Source organism: Homo sapiens, chromosome 1, assembly GCF_000001405.40.
Source record: "Homo sapiens chromosome 1, GRCh38.p14 Primary Assembly".
Taxonomy (NCBI): Eukaryota; Metazoa; Chordata; class Mammalia; order Primates; family Hominidae; genus Homo; species Homo sapiens.
Window position 1 is genome coordinate 152,278,044 of NC_000001.11, and position 24,078 is coordinate 152,302,121.

At 38.1% G+C, this 24,078-nt stretch overlaps 1 long non-coding RNA gene across 5 annotated transcripts in view; it reads left to right on the forward strand.

Annotated features, from left to right (window-relative positions):
• CCDST (cervical cancer associated DHX9 suppressive transcript) overlaps nt 1–24,078 on the forward strand; it is a 177,390-nt gene that overhangs the window by 88,741 nt on the left and 64,571 nt on the right. The gene's annotated exons all lie outside the window — the stretch shown is intronic.

Consider the following 24,078-nt stretch of genomic DNA (forward strand, 5'->3'; position numbering starts at 1 on the left):
CATGCCTAGCCCTGCCCCCAACCTGATGGTCCTTCCCTGTCCACCCTGGTAGCAGAAGACAAAGGGCATGTAATATTGGGAGTTTTAGGGCCTTGCCCACTGCCCGTTCCTCTCCACACACTACAGCTGATGCTTTCTGGAAAGCACCACCTCCTGGCAGGAGGCCAACCAGCACAAAAATAGAGCATTAAAACACCAATGCTAAAGGCCTTCACAGAGTCCATTGCACCCTCCAACACCTCCACTGGAACAGTTGCTGGTAACCATGCTGAGAGACCCATAGACGATTCACATCACAGGACTCTGTGCAGACAACCCCCAATACCAGCTAGGAGCTGGGTAGACTCACTGGGTAGACCCAGAAGAGAGACAATATCACTGCAGTTTGGCTCACAGGAAGCCATATCCATAGGAAAAGGGGGAGAGTAGTACATTGAGGGAACAACCCATGGGACAAAATAATCTGAACAATAGCCTTCAGCCTTAGACCTTTCGTCCAGTAGAACCTGCCCAAATGAGAAGGAACCAGAAAACCAACTATGGTAATATAACAAAACAAGGCTCTTCAACGCACCCCCAAAAAATCACAGTAGTTCACCAGTAATAGATCCAAACAAAGGAGAAATTCCTGATTTGTCTGAAAAAGAATTCAGGAGTTTAGTTATTAAGCTAATCAGGGAGGGACCAGAGAAAGGTGAAGTGCAATGCAAAGAAATCCAAAAAATGATATAAGAAGTGAAAGGAAAAATACTCATTTAATTAGATAGGTTAAATAAAAAACAGTCAAATATTCAGGAAACATTGGACAAACTTTTAAAAATGTGAAATACTTTGGGAAGTCTCAGCAATAGAATTGAACAAATAGAAGAAAGAAATTCAGAGCTTGAAGACAAGATCTTCAAATTAACCCAATCCAACAAAGACAAAGAAAAAAGAATAAGAAAGTATGAACAAAACCTCCAAGAATCTGGGTTTATGTTAAATGACCAAACCTAAAAATAATTGGTGTTCCTGAAGAAGAAGAGAATTCTAAAAACTTAGAAAACATATTTGGGGGAAAAATCAAGGAAAAATTCCCTCGCCTAGCTACAGAGGTAGACATCCAAATACAAGAAGCACAAAGGACACCTGGGAATTCATTGCAAAAAGATCTTCACCTAGAGAGATTGTCGTCAGATTATCCAGAGTTAAGACAAAGGAAAGAATCAGGATCTGTGAGACAAAAGCACCAGGTAATCTATACAGGAAAACCTATCAGATTAATAGCAGATTTCTCAGAAGAAACTCTACAAGCTAGAAGGGATTGGGGCCCTATCTTCAGCCTCCTCAAACAAAACAATTATCAGCCAAGAATTGTGTATCCAGTGAAACTAAGCCTCATATACGAAGGGGAAGATGCAGTCGTTTTCAGACAAACAAATGCTGAGAGAATTCGCCATTGCCAAGCCGCCACCACAAGAACTGCTGAAAAGAGCTCTAAATCTTGACATGAATCCTGGAAACCCATCAAAATAAAACTTCTTTAAGCCATAAATCACACAGGACCTGTAAAACAAAAATACAAGCTAAAAAGGAAAAGCAAAACACAAACAAAAAAACCCCAAAGTACACAGGCAACAAAGAGCATTTTGAATGCAATGGTACCTCACATTTCAGTAATAACATTGAATGTAAATGGCCTAAATGCTCCACTTAAAAGATACAGAACTGCAGAATGGATAAGAACTCACCAACCAACTATCTGCAGCCTTCAGGAGACTCACCTAACACATAAGTACTCACATGAACCTAAAGTAAAGGGGTAGAAAAAGGCATTTCATGCAAATGGAGACCAAAAGTGAGTAGGGGTAGCTATTCTTATATCAGACAAAACAAACTTTAAAGCAACAGCAGTTAAAAGCAACAAAGAGGGACAGTATATAATGGCAAAAGGCCTAGTCCAACAGGAAAATATCACAGTACTAAACATATATGCACCTAACACTGGAGCTCCCAAATTTATAAAACTATTACTAATGGGCCTAAGAAATGAGAGACAGCAACACAATGATAGTGAGGGATTTCAATATTCCACTAGAGAGGTCATTAAAACAGAATGTCAACAAAGAAACATTGGATTTCAACTATACCTTGGAACCAATAGAATTAACAGATATATACAGAACATTTCATCCAACAACCCACAAAATACACATTCTATTCAACAGTATATGGAACTTTCTCAAAGATAGACCATATGATAGGCCATAACATGAGCCTCAATAAATTTTAAAAAATTGAAATTATATCAAGCATACTCTGAGACCACAGTGGAATAAACCTGGAAATCAACTCCAAAAGGAACCTTCAAAACCGTGCAAATACATGGAAATTAAATAACCTGCTTCTGAATGAGCATTGGGTCAAAAACAAAATTGAGATGGAAATTAAAAAATTCTTCAAACTGAATGACAATAATGACACAACCTGTCAAAACCTCTAAAGAGCACAATCTAAGGTCACACCTCAAAGAACTAGAGAAACAAGAACAAACCAAACCCTAACCCAGCAGAAGAAAGGAAATAACCAAGGTCAGAGTAGAACTAAATGAAATTGGCACAAACAAACAAAAAAATACAAAAGGTAAATGAAACAAAAAGCTGGCTCTTTGAGAGATAAATAAAATCGATAGACCATTAGCAAGATTAACCAAGAAAAGAAGAGAGAAAATCCAAATAACTTCACTGAGAAACAAAACAGGAGATATTACAACTGACACCTCTGAAATACAAAAGATTATTCAAGGCTATTATGAACACCTTTATGCACACAAACTAGAAAACCTAGAAGAGATGGATAAATTCCTTGAAAAACACTACCCTCCTAACTTAAATCTGGAAGAATTAGATACCCTGAACAGACCAGTAACAAGCAGTGAGATTGAAATGGTAATTTAAAAATTATCAACAACAAAAAAATCCAGGACCAGATGGATTCACGCAGAATTCTACCTGACATTCAAAGAAGAATTGCTACCAATCCTTTTGACACTATTCCACAAGATAGAGAAATGGATAGCTTAAAGAAATAGACAAGAAAGAGGGAACCCTCCCTAAATCATTCTAAGAAGCCAGTGTCACCTTAATACCAATAACAGGAAAGGACACAACCAAAAAAGAAAACTACAGACTGATATCCTTGATGAACATAGATGCTAAAGTCCTTCACAAAATACTAGTTAACTGAATCCCACAACATATAAAAAAGGTAATCCACCATGATCAAGTGGGTTTCATACCAGGGATTCAGGGGTGGTTTAGCATACGCAAGTCAATAAATGTGATACACCACATAAACAGAATTTTTTAAAAAAATCACATGATCATCTCAGTAGATGGAGAAAAAACATTCAACAAAATCCAACATCCTTTTATGATTAAAACTCCCAGCACAATCGACATACAAGGGACATACCTTAACGTAGTAAAAGCCATCTATGACAGACCCACAGTCAACATAATACTGAATGGGGAAAAGATGAAAGCATTCCTGCTGAGAACTGGAACAAGACAAGGATGCCCACTCTCACCACTCCTCTTCAACATAGTGCTGGAAGTCCTAGCCAGAGCAATTGGACAGGAGAAAGAAATAAAGGGCATCCAAATCAATAAAGAGGAAGTCAGACTGTCACTGTTTGCTGATGATATGATCATTTACCTTGAAAACCCTAAGATTCCTCCAGAATGCTCCTAGAACTAATAAAAGAATTCAGCAAAGTTTCCAGATACAAGATTAATGTACGCAAATCAGTAGCTCTTCTATACACCAACAGTGACCAAGTGGAGAACCAAATCATGAACTCAACTCGTTTTACAATAGCTTCAAAAAAAGATAATACTTAGGAATATACCTATCCAAGGAGTCAAAAGACCTCTACAAGGAAAACTACAAAACACTGCTGAAAGAAATCATATATGACACAAACAAATGGAAACACATCCATGCTCATGGATGGGTAGAATTAATATTGTGAAAATGTCCATACTGACAAAAGCAGTCTACAAATTCAATGCAATCCCCATCAAATATCCCATCATTCTTCACATAATAAAGAATGAGCCCACAAAGCTAAAGCAAAACTAAGCAAAAAGAACCAATCTGGAGGCATAAACTACCTGATTTCAAACTATACTATAAGGCCATAGTCACCAAAACAGCATGGTACTGCTATAAAAATAGGCATATAGACCAATGGAACAGAATAGAGAACCCAGAAATAAACCCAAGTACTTACAGCCAACTGATCTTTGACAAAGCAAATAAACCATAAAGTGGGGAAAGGGCAGCCTTTTCAATGAATGATGCTGGCATAATTGGCTAGCCATATGTAGGAGAATTAAACCGGATCCTCATCTCTCACTTTATACAAAAATCAACTCAGGATAGATTAAAGACTTAATCCTAAGACCTGAAACTATAAAAATTCTAGAAGATAATAACATTGGAAAAACCCTTCTAGACATTGCCTTAGTCAAGGATTTCATGACCAAGAACCCAAAAACAAATGCAATAAAAACAAAGATAAATAGCTGGGACCTAATTAAAGAGCTTTTACATGATAAAAGGAACATCAGCAGAGTAAAAAGACAACCCATAGTGTGGGAGAAAATCTTCACAACCTATACATCTGACAAAGGACTAATATCCAGAATCTGCAATGAACTCAGACAAATCGTAAGAAAAAAATATCTCATCAAAAAGTGGGCTAAGGACATGAATAGAAAATTCTCAAAAGAAGATATACAAATGGCCAAGAAACATATAAAAAAAACTCAACATCACTAATGATCAGGGAAATGCAAATCAAAACCACAATGTGATACCATCTTACTCCTGCAAGAATGGCCATAATCAAAAAATCAAAAAACAGTAGATGTTGGCATGAATGTGGTGAAGAGAGAGCACTTCTACACTACTGGTGGGAATGTAAACTAGAACACCCACTATGAAAAACAGTGTGGAGATACCTTAAAGTAAAAGTAGAACTATGATTTGATTTAGCAATCCCACCACTGGATATCTACCCAGAGGAAAAGAAGTTATTATTTGAAAAAGACACTTGCACATGCATGTTTATAGCAGCACAATTCACAATTGCAAAATCGTGGAACCAACCCAAATGCCCATCAATCAATGACTGGATAAAGAAACTGTGGTATATATATATACATATGATGAAATACTATTCAGCCATAAAAACGAATGAATTGACAGCATTTGCAGTGACCTGGTTGAGACTGGAGACTATTACTGTAAGTGAAGTAACGCAGGAATGGAAAACCAAACATTGTATGTTCTCACTGATACGTGGGAGCTAAGCTATGAGGATGCAAAGACATAAGAATGATACAATGGACTTTGGGGACTTGGTGGGAAGAGTGTGAGGTGGGCAAGGGATAAAAGACTACAAATATGGTGCAGTGTTTACTGCTTTGGGTGCACCAAAATCTCACAAATCACCACCAAAGAACCTACTCAGGTAACCAAATACCACCTGTACCCCAATAACTTATGGAAAAAAGAATATAATGCAGTCACAGGTATTACCAGCAGAATCAACCAAGCTGAGGAAAGAGTTTCAGAGCTGAAATACTGGTTGTCCAAAATAACTGAGTCAGACAAAAGTAAAGAAAAAACAATAAAGACAAATGAACCAAATATCTGAGAAATGTGGAATGAGGTAAAGAGACCAAGTCTATGATTCATTGGCAAACCTGAAAGAGAGGGAGAGAAAGCAAGCAACTTGGAAAACATATTGAGGATATCATTGACAAGAGTTTCGCCAACCTCACTAGAGAATCTGACATTCAAATTCAGGAAATGCAGAGAACTACACAAGATGACCATCCTCAAGATACATGGTCATTAGATTCTCCTAGATAGAAATGAAAGAAAAAGCATTAAAGGCAGCTAAAGAGAATGGGCAAGCAACCCAAAAAGGGAACCCCATCAGCCTAAGGTGTATGTTTCAGCAGAAACTCTATGTCAGAAGATATTGATGGCCTATATTCAGCATTATTAAAGAAAACAAATTCCAATCAATATTTTAATATCCAGCCAAAGTAAGCCTTAGAAGTGTAGAAGAAATAAGATCCTTTTCAGACAAGCAAATGCCATAGAAATTTGTTACCACCAGATCTGTCTTAAAAGAGGTCCTTAAGGGAGTGCTAAATATGGAAAGGAAAGACCATTACTGGCCACCACAAAAATATGCTTAAGTACATAGACCATTGACACTATGAAGCAACCACACAATCAAGTCTGTGTAACAACCAGCTAAGATGATGACAGGATCAAATCTGCACATATCAATATTAACCTTGAGTGCAAATGGCTAAATGTTCCAATTAAAAGTCGCAGGATGGCGAATTGGATAAAGAAGTAAGACCCAACTGGATGTTTTCTTCAACAGACCCATCTCATATGTAATGTTCGTTCATAAGCTCAAGTGAAGGGATGGAGAAAAATCTACAAAGCAAATGGAAAACAGAAAAAAGCAGGGTTTCCTATTCAAATTTCAGGCAAAACAGACTTTAAATCAACCATCAAAAAAGACAAAGAAGGGCATTACATATTGGTAAAGGGTTTAATTCAACAAGAAGTCCTGACTATCCTAAATATATATGCACCCAATACAGGAGCACTCAGATTCATAAAGCAAGTTCCTAGAGACCAACAAAGAATTAGATAACCACACAATGATAGTGGGAAACTTCAACACCCCGATGACACTATCATACAGATAACTGAGGCAGAAAACTAACAAAGATATTTGGTGGTGTGAGTTGGTTGAAGGTATTAAGAAAAATAAAGCAAAGAAAAATACAATATTATGAATAAAAAAAGATATTTGGGACTTAAACTGACACTTGACAAAAATAGGCCTAATAGACATCTACAAAACTCTCCACCCAAAACCAATAGAATATACATTCTTCTCATTTGCACATGGCACATACTCTAAAATCAACTGCACAAATGGCCATAAAACAATCCTTAGCATATTTTTTCAAAAATGAAAACATACCAAACACACCCTCGAATCACAGCACAATAAGAATAGAAGTCAGTACTTGGAAAATTGCTCAAAACTATACAATTATATGGAAATGACACAATCTGCTCTTGAGTGACTTTGGGTAAATAAAATTAAGGCAGAAATCAAGAAATTCATTGAAACTAATGAGAATAAAGGGAGAGCATACCAGAATCTCTGGGACACAGCCAAAGCAGTGTTTAGAGGGAAGATTATAGTGCTAAATGCCCACATCAAAAAGTTAGAAAGATCTCAAATTAATAAACTAACATTGCACCTTGAGGAAAGAGAGAAACAAGTGCAAACCAACATCAGTGCTAGCAGAAGACAAGAAATAACCAAAATCAGAGCTGAACTGAAGGAAATTGAGATGTGAAAAATGATACAAAAGAGCAATAAATCCTGGAGCTGTTTCACTGAAAGAATAAGCAAAACTGATAGACAGTCAGACGGATAAAGAAAAAAAGAGAGAAGATCCAAATAAACACAATCAGAAATGATAAAGGGAACGTTACCACTGACCCCACGGAAATACAAAAAACCTTCAGAGACTATCGTGAACACCTGTATACAAAGTAGAAAATCTAGAAGAAATGGATAATTTCCTGGAAACATACAACCTCCAAAGATTGAACCAAGAAGAAAAAACGGAATTCCTGGACAAACCAATAAGGAGTTCCAAAACTTAATCAGTATTAAAAAGCCTACCAACAAGGAAAAGCCCAGGACTAGATAGATTCACAGCCGAATTCTACCAGATGTGTAAAGAAGAGCTGGTATAATTTCTACTGAAACTGTTACAAAAAAATTGAAGAGGAGGACTCCTCCCTTACTCATTTTATGAGGCCAGAATCATCCTGATACCAAAACCTGGCAGAGACACAACAACAAAACAAAAGAAAACTTCAGGCAAATATACTTGATGCTAATAGATGTGAAAATTTTCAACAAAATACTAGCAAACCAAATTTAGCAGCACATCAAAAAGTTAATCCACCACAATCAAGTAGGCTTTATCCCTGGGATGAAAGGTTGTTTTAACATACACAAATCAATAAATGTGATTCATCACATGAGCAAAAACAAAAATAAAAATCACATGATTAGCCCAATCAATGGCAGAAAAGACTTTCAATAACACTTAATATCCCTTCATGTTAAAAACTAGAAACAAACTAGGCATTGGAGGAACATACCTCAAAATAATAAGAGCCACCTATGAGAAACCCACAGCCAATATAATACTGAACAGCAAAAGCTAGAAACATTCTTCTTGAGAACTGGAACAAGACAAGGATGCCCACTGTCACCACTCCTATTCAACATAGTATGGGAAGTCCTAGCCAGAACAGTTACACAAGAGAAAGAAATAAAAGGCATTCAAATAGGAAGAGAGGAAGTCAAACTATCTCTGTTTGAAGATGATATGATATTATACCCCAAAAACCTCACAGTCTCTGTGCAAAAGCTTCTAGATCGGATAAACAACTTCAATAAAGTTTGAGCATACAAAATCAGTGTACAAAAATCAGTAGCATTTCTATACATCAACAACATGCATGCTGAGAGCCAAATCAAGAAAGCAATCCCATTCACATTAGCCAGAAAAGGAATAAAATACCCAGGAATACAGCTAACAAGGGAGGTAAAAGATCTCTACGATGAGAATTATAAAATACTGCTAAAAGAAATCAGAGATGACACAAACAAATGGAAAAACATTCTATGCTCATGGATAGAAAGAATCAATATTGTTAAATGGCTATACTACCCAAAGCAATTTATAGATTCAGTGCTATTACTATCAAACTTCCAATGACATTCTTCATAGAATTAAAAAAATATTTTAAGTATTCTATGGAACCAAAAAAAGAGCCCAAATAGCCAAGGCAATACTAACCAAAAAGAATAAATGTGGAGACATCACATTAACCAACTTCAAACTATGCTACAAGGTTATCAAAATAGCATAGTGCTGATACAAAAATAGACACATAGGCCAACAAAGCAGAATACCGAGCCCAGAAATAATGCCACATACCTGCAACCATCTGATCTCTGACAAAGTCAACAAAAACAAGCAATGGGGAAAGGAGTCCCTATTCAGCTATGCTAGCTGGTGTAACTGGCTAGCCCTAAACAGAAGGTTGAAACTGGACCCTTTCCTTACACCATATACAAAAATCAACTCAAGATTGATTAAAGACTTAAATGTAACACCTGAAACTATAAAAATGTTGGAAGATAATCTAGGAAATACCATGCTGGACACATGCCCTGGCAAAGATTTTATGATGAAGACACGTAACACAGTTGCAACAAAAACAAACATTGACAAATGGGACCTAATTAAACTAAAGAGCTTCAGCAAAATAAGCTATCAACAGAATAAACAGACAACGTACAGAAGGGGAGGAAATATGTATAACCTATGCATCCAACAAAAGTCTAATATCCAGAATATATAAGGAATTTAAACAAATTAATCAGCAAGAAATAAACAACCCCATTAAAAACTGGGCAAAGGACATGAACATTTTTCCAAAGAAGACACCCACATGGCCAACAAATATATGAAAAAATGCTCACCATTACTAATCATTAGAGAAATGAAAATCAAAACCACAATGAGATACCACCTCACATCAGACAAAATGGCTATTACTAAAAAGTAAAAAAATAACAGAAGGTCGTGCGGTTGCAGAGAAAAGGGAATGCTTAAACCCTGCTAGTGGGAATGTAAATTAGTTCAGCTATTGTGCAAAGCAGAGTGGCAATTTCCCAAAGAACTCAAAACTGAATTATCACTTGACACAGCAATCCTATTTTTTAAATTATACTTTAAGTTCTAGGGTACATGTGCACAACATGGAAGTTTGTTACATATGTATACATATGCCATGTTGGTGTGCTGCACCCATTAACTCGTCATTTACATTAGGTATATCTCCTAATGCTTTCCCTCCCCCTCCCCCCACCCCACAACAATAGGGTACATGTGCACAAAGTGCAGGTTTGTTACATATGTATACATGTGCCATGTTGGTGTGCTGCACCCATTAACTCGTCATTTACATTAGGTATATCTCCTAATGCTTTCCCTCCCCCTCCCCCTACCCCACAACAGGCTCCGGTGTGTGATGTTCCCCTTCCAGTGTCCAAGTGTTCTCATTGTTCAATTCCCACCTATGAGTGAGAACATGCGGTGTATGGTTTTTTATTCTTGCGAAAGTTTGCTGAGAATGATGGTTTCCAGCTTCATCCATGTCCCTGCAAAGGACATGAATTCATCGTTTTTTTATGGCTGCATAGTATTCCATGGTGTATATCTGCCACATTTTCTTAATCCAGTCTATCATTGTTGGACATTTGGGTTGGTTCCAAGTCTTTGCTATTGCGAATAGTGCCACAATAAACATATGGTGCATGTGTCTTTATAGCAGCATGATTTATAATCCTTTGGGTATATACCCAGTAATGAGATGGCTGGGTCAAATGGTATTTCTAGTTCTAGATCCTTGAGGAATCACCACTGTCTTCCACAATGGTTGAACTAGTTTACAGTCCCACCAACAGTATAAAAGTGTTCCTATTTCTCCACATCCTCTCCAGCACCTGTTGTTTCCTGACTTCGTAATGATCGCCATTCTAACTGGTGTGAGATGGTATCTCATTGTTTTGATTTGCATTTCTCTGATGGGCAGTGATGATGAGCATTTTTTCATGTGTTTTTTGGCTGCATAAATGTCTTCTTTTGAGAAGTGTCTGTTCATATACTTTGCCCGCTTTTTGATGGGATTGATTGTTTTTTTCTTGTAAATTTGTTTGAGTTCTTTGTAGATTCTGGATATTAGCCCTTTGTCAGAGGAGTAGGTTGCAAAAATTTTCTCCCATTCTATAGGTTGCCTATTCACTCTGATGGTAGTTTCTTTTCCTGTGCAGAAGCGCTTTAGTTTAATTAGATCCCATTTGTCAATTTTGGCTTTTGTTCCCTTTGCTTTTGCTGTTTTAGACATGAGGTCCTTGCCCATGCCTATGTCCTGAATGGTATTGCCTGGGTTTTCTTCTAGGGTTTTTATGGTTTTGGGTCTAACATTTAAGTCTTTAATCCATCGGAATTAATTTTTGTATAAGGTGTAAGGAAGGGATCCGGTTTCAGCTTTCTACATATGGCTAGCCAGTTTTCCCAGCACCATTTATTAAATAGGGAGTCCTTTCCCCAGTGCTTATTTTTGTCAGGTTTGTCAAAGATCAGATGGTTATAGACGTGTAGTCTTATTTCTGAGGACTCTGTTCTGTTCTATTGGTCTATATCTCTGTTTTGGTACCAGTACCATGCTGTTTTGGTTACTGTAGCCTTGCAGTATAGTTTGAAGTCAGGTAGCATGATGCCTCCAGCTTTCTTCTTTTTGCTTAGTATTGTGTTGGTAATGCAGGTTCTTTTTTGGTTCCATATGAACTTTAAAGTAGTTTTTTCCAATTCTGTGAAGAAAGTCATTGGCAGCTTGATGGGGATGGAATTGAATCTGTAGATTACCTTGTGCAGTATGGCCATTTTCATGATATTGATTCCTCCTACCCATGAGCATGGAATGTTCTTCCATTTGTTTTTGTATCCTCTTTTATTTCACTGAGCAGTGGTTTGTAGTTCTCCTTGAAGAAGTCCTTCACATCCCTTGTTAGTTGGATTCCTAGGTATTTTATTCTCTTTGAAGCAATTGTGAATGGGAGTTCACTCATGATTTGACTGTTTGTCTGTTATTGGTGTATAAGAATGCTTGTGATTTTTGCACATTGATTTTGTATCCTGAGACTTTGCTGAAGTTGCCTATCAGCTTAAGGAGATTTTGGGCTGAGACGATGGGGTTTTCTAAATATACAATCATGTCATCTGCAAACAGGGACAATTTGGCTTTCTCTTTTCGTAATTGAATGCCCTTTATTTCTTTCTCCTGCCTGATTGCCCTGGCCAGAACTTCCAACACTATGTTGAATAGGAGTGGTGAGAGAGGGCATCTCTGTCTTGTGCCAGTTTTCAAAGAGAATGCTTCCAGTTTTTATCCATTCAGTATGATATTGGCTGTGGGTTTGTCATAGATAGCTCTTATTATTTTGAGATATGTCCCATCAATACCTAATTTATTGAGAGTTTTTAGCATGAAGGGCTGTTGAATTTTGTCAAAGGTCTTTTCTGCATCTATTGAGATAATCATGTGGTTTTTGTCTTTGGTTCTGTTTATATGCTTGATTACGTGTATTGATTTTCGTATGTTGAAGAAGCCTTGTGACCCAGGGACGAAGCCCACTTGATCATGGTGGATAAGCTTTTTGATGTGCTGCTGGGTTGAGTTTGCCAGTATTTTACTGAGGATTTTTGCATCGATGTTCATCAGGGATATTGGTCTAAAATTCTCTTTTGTTGTTGTGTCTCTGCCAGGCTTTGATATCTGGATGATGCTGGCCTCATAAAATGAGTTAGGGAAGATTCCCTCTTCTTCTATTGCCAGCAATCCTATTATTAGATATATACCCTGATATGGTTTGAATCTCTGTCCCTGCCCAAATCTCATGTTTGATTTTAATCCCCAGTGTTGGAGGTGGGGTCTGGTGCAAGGTGATTGGATCATGAGAGTTTATGCCTTGTGAATGGTTTAGCACCATCTTCTTGGTGCTGTTCTCATGATAGAGAGTGAGTTATTGTGCAATGTGCTTGTTTAAAAGTGTGTAGCACCTCCCCTTCTCTATCTTGCTTTTCTCCTGCTATGTAAGATGCCTTGCTCCCCCTTTGTCTTCTCCCATGAATGTAAGTTTCCTGAGGCCTCTTCAGAAGCTGAACAGATGGCAGAATCATGCTTCCTATGTTGCCCTGCAGAACTATGAGTCAATTAAACTTCTTTTCTTTATAAATCACCCAGTCTCAGGTATTTCTTTATAGCAATGTAATAATGGATTCATACATATCCAAAGGAATAGAAATCATTCTGCCATAAAGACACATGCATGCATATGTTTGTTGCAGCACTATTCACAATTGCAGATATATGGAATCAACCTAGATGTCCACCAACGGTAGACTAGATAAAGAAAATGTGATGCATGTACAGCATGGTATGCTACACAGCCATGTAAAAGAACAATATTATGTCCTTTGTAGCAACATGGAGGGAGTTGGAGGCCATTATTGTAAGCAAACTAACACAGGACCAGGAATACCAAATACTACATATTCTCAAATTTGCCTATATAACAAACATGCAAATGTACCCCTGTATCTAAAATAAAAGTAAACAACAACAGCAAAACAAAAGAATTTTAAGATTTATCCACTGTAAAGTTAAAATTTTTTTTGAAAGAAATAAAAGATCTAAATAAATGGAAAAGCAGCTAATATTTACGGAAAAAAAAGTAATCAAGAAAGTAATTTTAGAGATGAGCGGGCAAGATGGCTGAAGAAGAACAGCTCCGGTCTGCAGCTCCCAGTGAGACCAATGCAGAAGGCAGGTGATTTCTGCATTTCCAACAGAGGTACCTTGTTCCTCTCATTGGGATTGGTTAGACAGTGGGTACAGCCCATGGAGGGGGAGCAGGAGGCATTGCCTCACCCAGGAAGCACAAGGGGCTGGAGAACTTCCTCCCCTAGCCAAGGGAAGTCATGAGGGACTGTGCTCTGTGGCCCAGATACTACACTTTTCCCATAGTTTCTACATCCCACAGACCAGGAGATTCCCTCGGGTGCCTGTACAGCTAGGGCCCTGGGTTTCAAGCACAAAACTGGGTGGCTGTTTGGGCAGACACTGAGCTAGCTGCAGGAGATTTTTTTTCCATACCCCAGTGGTACCTGGAACCCCAGCAAGACAGAACTGTTCACTCCCCTGGAAAGGGGACTGAAGCCAGGGAGCCAAGTGGTCTTGCTCAACTGGTGGCACCCCTATGGAGCCCAGCAAGCTAAGATCCACTCGCTTGAAATTCTCGCTGTCAGCACAGCAGTCTGAAGTCGACCTTGGATGATACGACTTCATTGGGGGAAGGGCACCTGCCATTACTGAGGCTTGAATAGGTGGTTTTCCCCTCACAGTATAAACAAAGCTGCCAGGAATTTCGGACTGGGCAAGACTAACTGCAGCATGGCAAAGCCGCTGTGGCCAGACTGCCTCTCTACATTCCTCCTCACTGGGCAGGGCATATCTGAAAGAAAGGCAGCAGACCCAGTCAGGGGCTTATAGATAAAACTCCCTTCTCCCTGAGACAGAGCACCTGGGTGAAGGGGCGGCTGTGGGCGCAGCTTCAGCAGACTTAAACATTGCTGCCTGCTGGCTCTGAAGAGAGCAGCAGATCTCCCAGCATAGGACTTGAGCTCTGCTAAGGGACAGACTGCCTCCTCAAGTAGTTCCCTGACCCTCATGCCTCCTGACTGGAGACACCTCCCAGCAGGGATCAACACATATCTCATACAGGAGAGCTCTGGCTGGCATCTGGCAGGTGTCCCTCTGGAACAAACCTTCAAGAGGAAGGGGCAGGCAGGAATCTTTGCTGTTCTGTAGCCTCTGCTGGGGATATCCAGGCAAACAGTGTCTGTAGTGGACCTCCAGCAATCTCTAACAGACCTGCAGAAGAGGGGCTTGACTGTTAGAAGGAAAACTAACAAACAGAAAGCAATAACATTAACGTCAACAAAAAGGACGCCCGTGCAAAAACCCCATCCAAAGGTCTTCAACATCAAAGATCAAAGGTAGATAAATCCATGAAGATGAGGAAAAATCAGCTCAAAAATGCTGAAAATTCCTAAAACCAGAATGCCTTTTCTCCTCCAAAGGATCACAACTCCTTGCCAGCAAGGACACAAAACTGGACACAGAATGAGTTTGACGAATTGACAGAAGTAGGCTTCAGAAGGTGGGTAATAACAAACTCCTCCGAGCTAAAGGAGCATGTTCTAACCCAATGCAAGGAAGCTAAGAACCTTGACAAAGGTTACAGGAACTGCTAACTAGAATAACTAGTTTAGAGAACAACATAATTGACCTAACGGAGCTGAAAAACACAGCTTGAGAACTTTGTGAAGCATACACAAGTATCAATAGCCAAATTGATCAAGCAGAAGGAAGGATATCAGAAATTGAAGATAAACTGAATGAAATAAAGCATGAAGACAAGATTAGAGAAAAAAGAATGAAAAGGAATGAACAAAACCCCCAAGAGACATGGGACTATGTGAAAAGACCAAACCTATGATTGATTGGTGTACCTGAAAGTGATGGGGAGAACGGAACCAAGTTGGAAAGCACACTTCAGGATATGATCCAGGAGAACTTCCCCAACCTAGCAAGACAGGCCAACATTCAAATTCAGGAAATACAGAGAACACCACTAAGATTCTCCTCAAGAAGAGCAACCCCAAGACACATAATCATCAGATTCACCAAGGTTGAAATAAAGAAAAAAATGTTAAGGGCAGCCAGAGAGAAGGGTCAGGTTACCTACAAAGGGAAGCCCATCAGACTAATAGTGGATCTCTCCTCAGAAACCCAGAAGCCAGAAGAGAGAGGGGGCCAATATTCCACATTCTTAAAGGAAAGAATTTTCAACCCAGAATTTCATATCCAGCCAATCTAAGCTTCATACGGGAAGGAGAAATAAAATCCTTTACTGAGAAGCAAATGTTGAGCGATTTTGTCAACACCAGGCCTGCCTTAGAAGAGCTCCTGAAGGAAAGACAATGGGAATATGGAAATATGGAAAGGAAAAATTGGTTCCAGCTACTGCAAAAACGTACCAAAATATAAAGACCAACGACACTATGAAGTAACTGCATCAACTAATGTGCAAAATAACTAGCTAGCATCATGATGACAGGATCAAATTCACACATAACAATATTAACCTTAAATGTAAATGGGCTAATTGCCCAGGTTAATAGACACAGACTGATACCTGTGTAACAAACCTGCAGGTTCTACACATCCCAGAACTTAAAGTATAAATATATATAGTTTATGTAAAGTATAAATATATAAATATATATAGTTCATGTAAAGTATAAATATTTACATTTTATATAAAATATATATACTTTATATAAATATATATTTTTTAATATTTTTATTTTATTCAAAGAAAATAAAGAGATTGTATCAATAAAACAAAACATTTTTGGCCCTTAAATTAAACACATCCTGTATTCTTAGCCCAGTATCTGTTGTGAGGAATATAAGACTTGGAGGACATGGTTTATTTGTTAAAGAAACATTAAGTCCTCACTATATGCTTCACTTGCCTTTTACACACTGAGTATCCCTTATCCAAAATGCTTGGGACCAAAAGTGTTTCAGATTTTGGATAATTTTGGATTTTAAAACATTTGCATATACATGAGATATCCTGGGGATAAGACCCAAGTCTAACATGGAATTCATGTATGTTGCATATATACATTATATGCATACCTTGAAGGTAATTTTATATAATATTTTAAAAAATTTTGTGCATGAAACAAAGTTTGGACTGCGTTTTTTAAATTATTGTCACACTTTAAGTTTTAGGGTACATGTGCACAATGGGTAGGTTTGTTACATATGTATACATGTGCCATGTTGGTGTGGTGCACCCATTAACTCATTATTTAGCATTAGGTATATCTCCTAATGCTGTCCCTCCCCCCTCGCCCCACTCCACAACCGTCCCCGGTGTGTGATGTTCCCCTTCCTGTGTCCATCTGTTCTCATTGTTGAATTCCCACCTATGAGTGAGAACATGCGGTGTTTGGTTTTTTGTCCATGAGATACTTTGCTGACAATGATGGTTTCCAGCTTCATCTATGTCCCTACAAAGGACATGAACTCATCATTTCTTAGGGCTGCATAGTATTCCATGGTGTATATATGCCACATTCTCTTAATCCAGTCTATCATTGATGGACATTTGGGTTGGTTCCAAGTCTTTGCTATTGTGAATAGTGCTACAATAAACATAAATGTGCATGTGTCTTTATAGAAGCATGATTTATAATCCTTTGGGTATATACCCAGTAATGCGATGGCTGGGTCAAATGGTATTTCTAGTTCTAGATCCCTGAGGAATCGCCACACTGACTTCCACAAGGGTTGAACTAGTTTACGGTCCCACCAACGGTGTAAAAGTGGTCCTATTTCTCTACATCCTCTCCAGCACCTGTTGTTTCCTGACTTTTTAATGATCGCCATTCTAACTGGTGTGAGATGGTATCTCATTGTGGTTTTGATTTGCATTTCTCTGATGGCCAGTGATGATGAGCATTTTTTCATGTGTTTTTTGGCTGCATAAATGTCTTCTTTTGAGAAGTGTCTGTTCATATCCTTCACCCACTTGTTGATGGGGTTGTTCGTTTTTTCCTTGTAAATTTGTTTTAGTTCTTTGTAGATGCTGGATATTAGCCCTTTGTCAGATGAGTAGGTTGAAAAAACTTTCTCCATTCTGTAGGTTGCCTGTTCACTCTGATGGTGGTTTCTTTTGCTGTGCAGAAGCTCTTTAGTTTAATTAGATCCCATTTGTCAATTTTGGCTTTTGTTGCCATTGCTTTTGCTGTTTTAGACATGAAGTCCTCGCCCATGCCTATGTCCTGAATGGTATTGCCTAGGTTTTCTTCTAGGGTTTTTATGGTTTTAGGTCTAACATGTAAGTCTTTAATCCATCTTGAATTAATTTTTGTATAAGGTGTAAGGAAGGGATCCGGTTTCAGCTTTCTACATATGACTAGCCATTTTTCCCAGCACCATTTATTAAATAGGGAATCCTTTCCCCATTGCTTGTTTTTGTCATGTTTGTCAAAGATCAGATGGTTGTAGATGTGTGGTATTATTTCTGAGGGCTCTGTTCTGTTCCGTTGGTCTATATCTCTGTTTTGGTACCAGTACCATGCTGTTTTGGTTGCTGTAGCCTTGTAGTATAGTTTGAAGTCAGGTAGCATGGTGCCTCCAGCTTTGTTCTTTTGGCTTAGGATTGACTTGGCGATGTGGGCTCTTTTTTGGTTCCATATGGACTTTATAGTAGTTTTTTCCAATTCTGTGAAGAACGTCATTGGTAGCTTGATGGGGATCGCATTGAATCTGTAAATTACCTTGGGCAGTATGGCCATTTTCACGATATTCATTCTTCCTACCCATGAACATGGAATGTTCTTCCATTTGTTTGTATCCTCTTTTATTACATTGAGCAGTGGTTTGTAGTTTTCCTTGAAGAGGTCCTTCACATCCCTTGTAAGTTGGATTCCTAGGTATTTTATTCTCTTTGAAGCAATTGTGAATGGGGTTTGACTCATGATTTGGCCCTCTGTTTATCTGTTATTGGTGTATAAGAACGCTTGTGATTTTTGCACATTGATTTTGTATCCTGAGACTTTGCTGAAGTTGCTTATCAGCTTAAGGAGATTTTGGGCTGAGATGATCAGGTTTTCTAGATATATAATCATATCATCTGCAAACAGGGACAATTTGCCTTTCTCTTTTCCGAACTGAATGCCCTTTATTTCCTTCTCCTGCCTTATTGCTCTGGCCAGAACTTCCAACACTATGTTGAATAGGAGTGGTGCGAGAGGGCATCCCTGTCTTGTGCCAGTTTTCAAAGAGAATGCTTCCAGTTTTTGTCCATTCAGTATGATATTGGCTGTGGGTTTGTCACAGATAGCTCTTATTATTTTGAGATATGTCCCATCAATACCTAATTTATTGAGAGTTTTTAGCATGAAGGGTTGTTGAATTTTGTCAAAGGCCTTGTCTACATCTATTGAGATAATCATGTGGTTTTTGTCTTTGGTTCTGTTTATATGCTGGATTACGTTTATTGATTTTCGTATGTTGAACCAGCCTTGCATCCCAGGGATGAAGCCCACTTGATCACAATAATAAGAGCTATCTATGAGAAACCCACAGCCAATATCATACTGAATGGACAAAAACTGGAAGCATTCTCTTTGAAAACTGGCACAAGAGAGGGATGCCCTGTCTCACCACTCCTATTCAACATAGTGTTGGAAGTTCTGGCCAGGGCAATCAGTCAGGAGAAAGAAATAAACGTGTTCAAGTAGGAAAAGAGGAAGTCGAATTGTCCCTGTTTGTAAATGACATGATTGTATATCTAGAAAACCCCATCGTCTCAGCCAAAAATATCCTTAAGCTGAAAAGCTGCTTCAGTAAATTCTCAGGATACAAAAGCAATGTGCAAAAATCACAAGCACCCTTATACACCAATAACAGATAAACAGAGAGCCAAATCATGAGTGAACTCCCATTCACAGTTGTTTCAAAGAGAATAAAATACCTAGGAATCCAACTTACAAGGGATGTGAAGGACCTCTTCAAGGAGAACTACAAACCACTGCTCAGTGAAATGAAACAGGATACAAAGAAATGGAAGAACATTCCATGCTCATGGGTAGGAAGAATGAATATCGTGAAAATGGCCATACTGCCCAAGGTAATTTATAGATTCAATGCCATCCCCATCAACCTACCAATGACTTTCTTCACAGAATTAGAAAAAACTACTTTAACGTTCATATGGAACCAAAAAGAAGCCCACATCGCCAAGCAATCCTAAGCCAAAAGAACAAAGCTGGAGGCATTACGCTACCTGACTTCAAACTATACTACAAGGCTACAGTAACCAAAACAGCATGATGCTGTTACCCAATCAGAGATATAGACCAATGGAACAGGACAGATCCCTCAGAAATAATACCACACATCTACAACCATCTGATCATTGACAAACGTGACAAAAACAAGCAATGGGGAAAGGATTGCCTATTTAATAAATGGTGCTGGGAAAACTGGCTAGCGATATGTAGAAAGGTGAAACCGGATCCTTTCCTTACACCTTATACAAAAATTAATTCAAGATGGATTAAAGACTTACATGTTAGACCTAAAACTATAAAAACCCTAGAGGAAACCTAGGCAATACCATTCAGGACATAGGCATGGGCAAGGACTTCATGTCTAAAACACCAATAACAATGGCAAGAAAAGCCAAAATTGACAAATGGGATCTAATTAAACTAAAGAGCTTCTGCACAGCAAAAGGAACCACCATCAGAGTGAACAGCCAACCTACAGAATGGAGAATTTTTTTTCAACCTACTCATCTGACAAAGGTCTAATATCCAGAATCTACAAAGAACTCAAACAAATTTACAAGAAAAAACAAACAACCCCATCAACAAGTGGGTGAAGGATATGAACAGACACTTCTCAAAAGAAGACATTTATGCAGCCAAAAGACACATGAAAAAATGCTCATCATCACTGACCATGAGAGAAATGCAAATCAAAACCACAATGAGATACCATCTCACACCAGTTAGAATGGCGATCATTAAAAAGTCAGGAAACAACAGGTGCTGGAGAGGATGTGGAGTAATAGGAACACTTTTACACTGTTGGTGGGACTGTAAACTAGTTCAGCGATTGTGGAAGACCGTGTGGCAATTCCTCAGCAATCTAGAACTAGAAATACCATTTGACCCAGCCATCGCATTACTGGGTATATACCCAAAGGATTATAAATCATGCTGCTATAAAGACACATGCACACGTATATTTATTGCGGCACTATTCACAATAGCAAAGACTTGCAGCCAACCCAAATGTCCAACAATGATAGACTGGATTAAGAAAATGTGGCACATATACACCATGGAATACTATGCAGCCATTAAAAACGATGAGTTCATATCCTTTTTAGGGACATGGATGAAGCTGGAAACCATCATTCTGAGCAAACTATCACAAGAACAAAAAACCAAACACCACATGTTCTCACTCATAGGTGGGAATTGAACAATGAGAATGCTTGGACACAGGAAGGGGAACATCACACACTGGGGCTTCTTGTGGGGTGGTGGTAAGGGGGAGCAATAACATTAGGAGATACACCTAATGTAAATGATGAGTTAATGGGTGCAGCACACCAACATGGCACATGTATACATATGTAACAAAACTGCACGTTGTGCACATGTACCCTAAAACTTGAAGTATTATAAATAAAGAAAAAAAAGAAAGATTTCTGGGCAAAGATTTCTTAAGTAATACCCTAAGCACAAGCAACTGAAGCAAAAGTGGATAAATGGGATCACATCAAGTAAAAAGCTTCTGCAGCACAAAGGAAACAATCAACAAAGTTAAGAGGCAAACCACAGAATGGAAGAAAATATTTGTACTCTCCATCTGATAAGGCATTAATAACTAGAATAAGTAAATAGCTTAGACAACTTAATACGAAAAACAATCTAATAATCCAATTTAAATATGAGCAAAAGATCTGAACAGGAGTTTCTCAAAAGAAGACATACAAATGGCAAACAGATATATGAAAAGGTGCTTACCATCATTGATCATCAGATGCAAATCAAATCCAAATAAAAAATATGATAAGATATCATCTAACTTAAAATAACTTTTATCCAGAAGCTGGAAGTAACAAAAGGCAAGGATGTAGAGAAAAGGGAACAGTAGTACACTGTTGGTGGGTGTGTAAGGGCAAGATATCTGAACAGGCATTTGTCAAAAGAAGACATACACATGGCAAACAAGTATATGAAAATGTGCTTACTATCATTGATCATCTTAGAAAGGCAAATCAAAAATGTAATGAGATATCATCTCACTGAGTTAAAATAGCTTTTATCCAAAAGCAGGAAATAACAAAAAAAGGCAAGGATGTAGAGAAAAGGGAACAGTAGTACACTTTTGGTGGGAATGTAAATTACAACTACTGTGGAGAGCAGCATGAAAGTTTCTCAAAAAACTAAAAATAGAGCTACTATATGATCCAGTAATCCCACTGCTAGGTACATACCCAAAAGAAAGTAAGTCGTTATAATGAAGAGATATCTGCACTCCAATGTTTATTGCAGCAGTATTCACAATAGCCAAATTTGGAAGCAATCTAAGTGTCCATTAAGAGATGAATGGATAAAGAAAGTGTACCTACACACAATGGAGTGATAGAAAAGAATGAGATCCTGTAATTTGCAACAACATGGATGGAACTGGAGGACATCATATTAAGTAAAGTAAGTGAGGCAGAGAAAGATAATCTTCACGTGTTCTCATTCATTTGTGAGATCTAAAAATTAAAACAATTGAACTCAAGGAGATAGAAAGTAGAATGATGGTTACCAGAGGCTGGGAAGGGTAATGAAAGGTAGGGGGTAAGTGGAGATGGTTAATGGGTACAAAAATATAGTTAAATAGAGTGAATAAGATTTAGTATTTGATAGCACAACAGGGCAACTGCAGTCGACAGTAATTTATTGTACATTGAAAAATAAGTAAAATAGTATAATTGGATTGCATGTAACACAAATGATGAATGCTTGAGGTGATGGATACCTCATTTATTTTGATATGATTATCATACACTGTATGTCTGTATCAAAATATCTCATGTATCCCATAAATATATGTATACCTACTATGTACCCACAAAAATTTTAAAAACGATTGTCCCAAAGAAAAACTTAGAAACCTGTAGTTATCTTGCAGGAAAATTGTTGACTTATATGTGAGAGAATTGGTCGAACAAGTTAAGGAAAAATGTAAAAAACAAATTTTATAAAGGAAGGAGAGAGGACAGAGAAAAATTGATGTTCCAAGTGAATCTTGTTAGCATCTTTTTGGGTAAACTGATTTTCTCTCAACAAAAAGGAGCATCTGGTAATTTTATCCTTGAGTGGGCAGGGATATGAAAGAAAACAGTTCCAGTTGTTTATGGGTTCTTCAGAAAACTTGAGAATTTAGCTCTCTAAACGTCTGGCTAAAACTACTTTAAGGTCTGTCTGTCCTTCTGTCAGTACCTCTCCCATAGTTAGACTAGGTCTGCACTGTTTCCTCATTATATATTGTTTTCTTAGCCAGTTAGTTATGCCTGGCTTCTTTAGACAGGAGCTACAGGAGGTAGCCACATAAGCTGGTTGTGAGACTGGGGGCAAGGTAGCAAAGTGTATCAGAGAAATGGACAAAGGCATCCTCTCTAGGTATGTCTGTGGAAGTTCAATGAGGTCTGAAGGTATGATATCTTATGGAGTTTGCAGCTTTGTAGGGGCATTTGGGGACAACACTTCAAGCAGGGAGGGATGACACTGGTGGGAAGGAAATGCCATCTTCAAGTGGCTTGTGGAGAACACATATAGACTATTGTTTGAGGCTAATTAGAAAAACGAGCTTGTTTGTTGCTTTTCATTCAGTCCCTGCACCTATTGGGTATTATTGTAACTTTGACAATCAGTGTCACTTTATCTTGGTTTACTCAAGTGTAAGTTCAATAAAGGCAGCTTTTTGGAAGTGCTTTTATAAAACCACTAAAAGCAGATTTGGAGACTTGAGATCTAAGTGCTACTTTGGTGTGGATTATTTGTGTAATAGACTCATCTGCAAAATGTGATCGCTGACCTACATATCACTTCTAGTCTGATATTATGGGAATGAAAATTTGGGTAGGATTCTTACAGAAGCATATTCCTTCTACTGGTAGAACTTCATTCATATTTTTACTATTCTTTTTTCAGCATTTTCATCTACTTGCTTAAATTACAAAGATACAAATATTTTCCTTCCAGGTCAGGAGGACACTTCTTTTTAATTCTTTTCCCTTTTTCAGGATATATCAGCACAACTTCTCTGCTCCAACTAGTCTACATTGCAAAGCATCTCCTAGTGTCTTTGGAAGAAGGATCTATGGTCAGTAATTCCTGTTTCGTGATCTGCCTTTGACATGGCTTAATCACCACCTAAGTTGATAATTCCATATTAATAATAGTGATATTCATGATTGAGCAGAGCATGTTTTTTTTTTTCCTGCATGTGATTGTGGGACAGTGATTATGTTGGAGAAAAATATAGGCCTTGATTAAATTTTGTCTTTCATTATTAATTACTTGTTATTTTGAATGTAATGTATCTGCTTTATGGTCATATAGCTTTCCAATGATATAGAAGACATCTAATTCTGGCCATGGGGAAGTATGT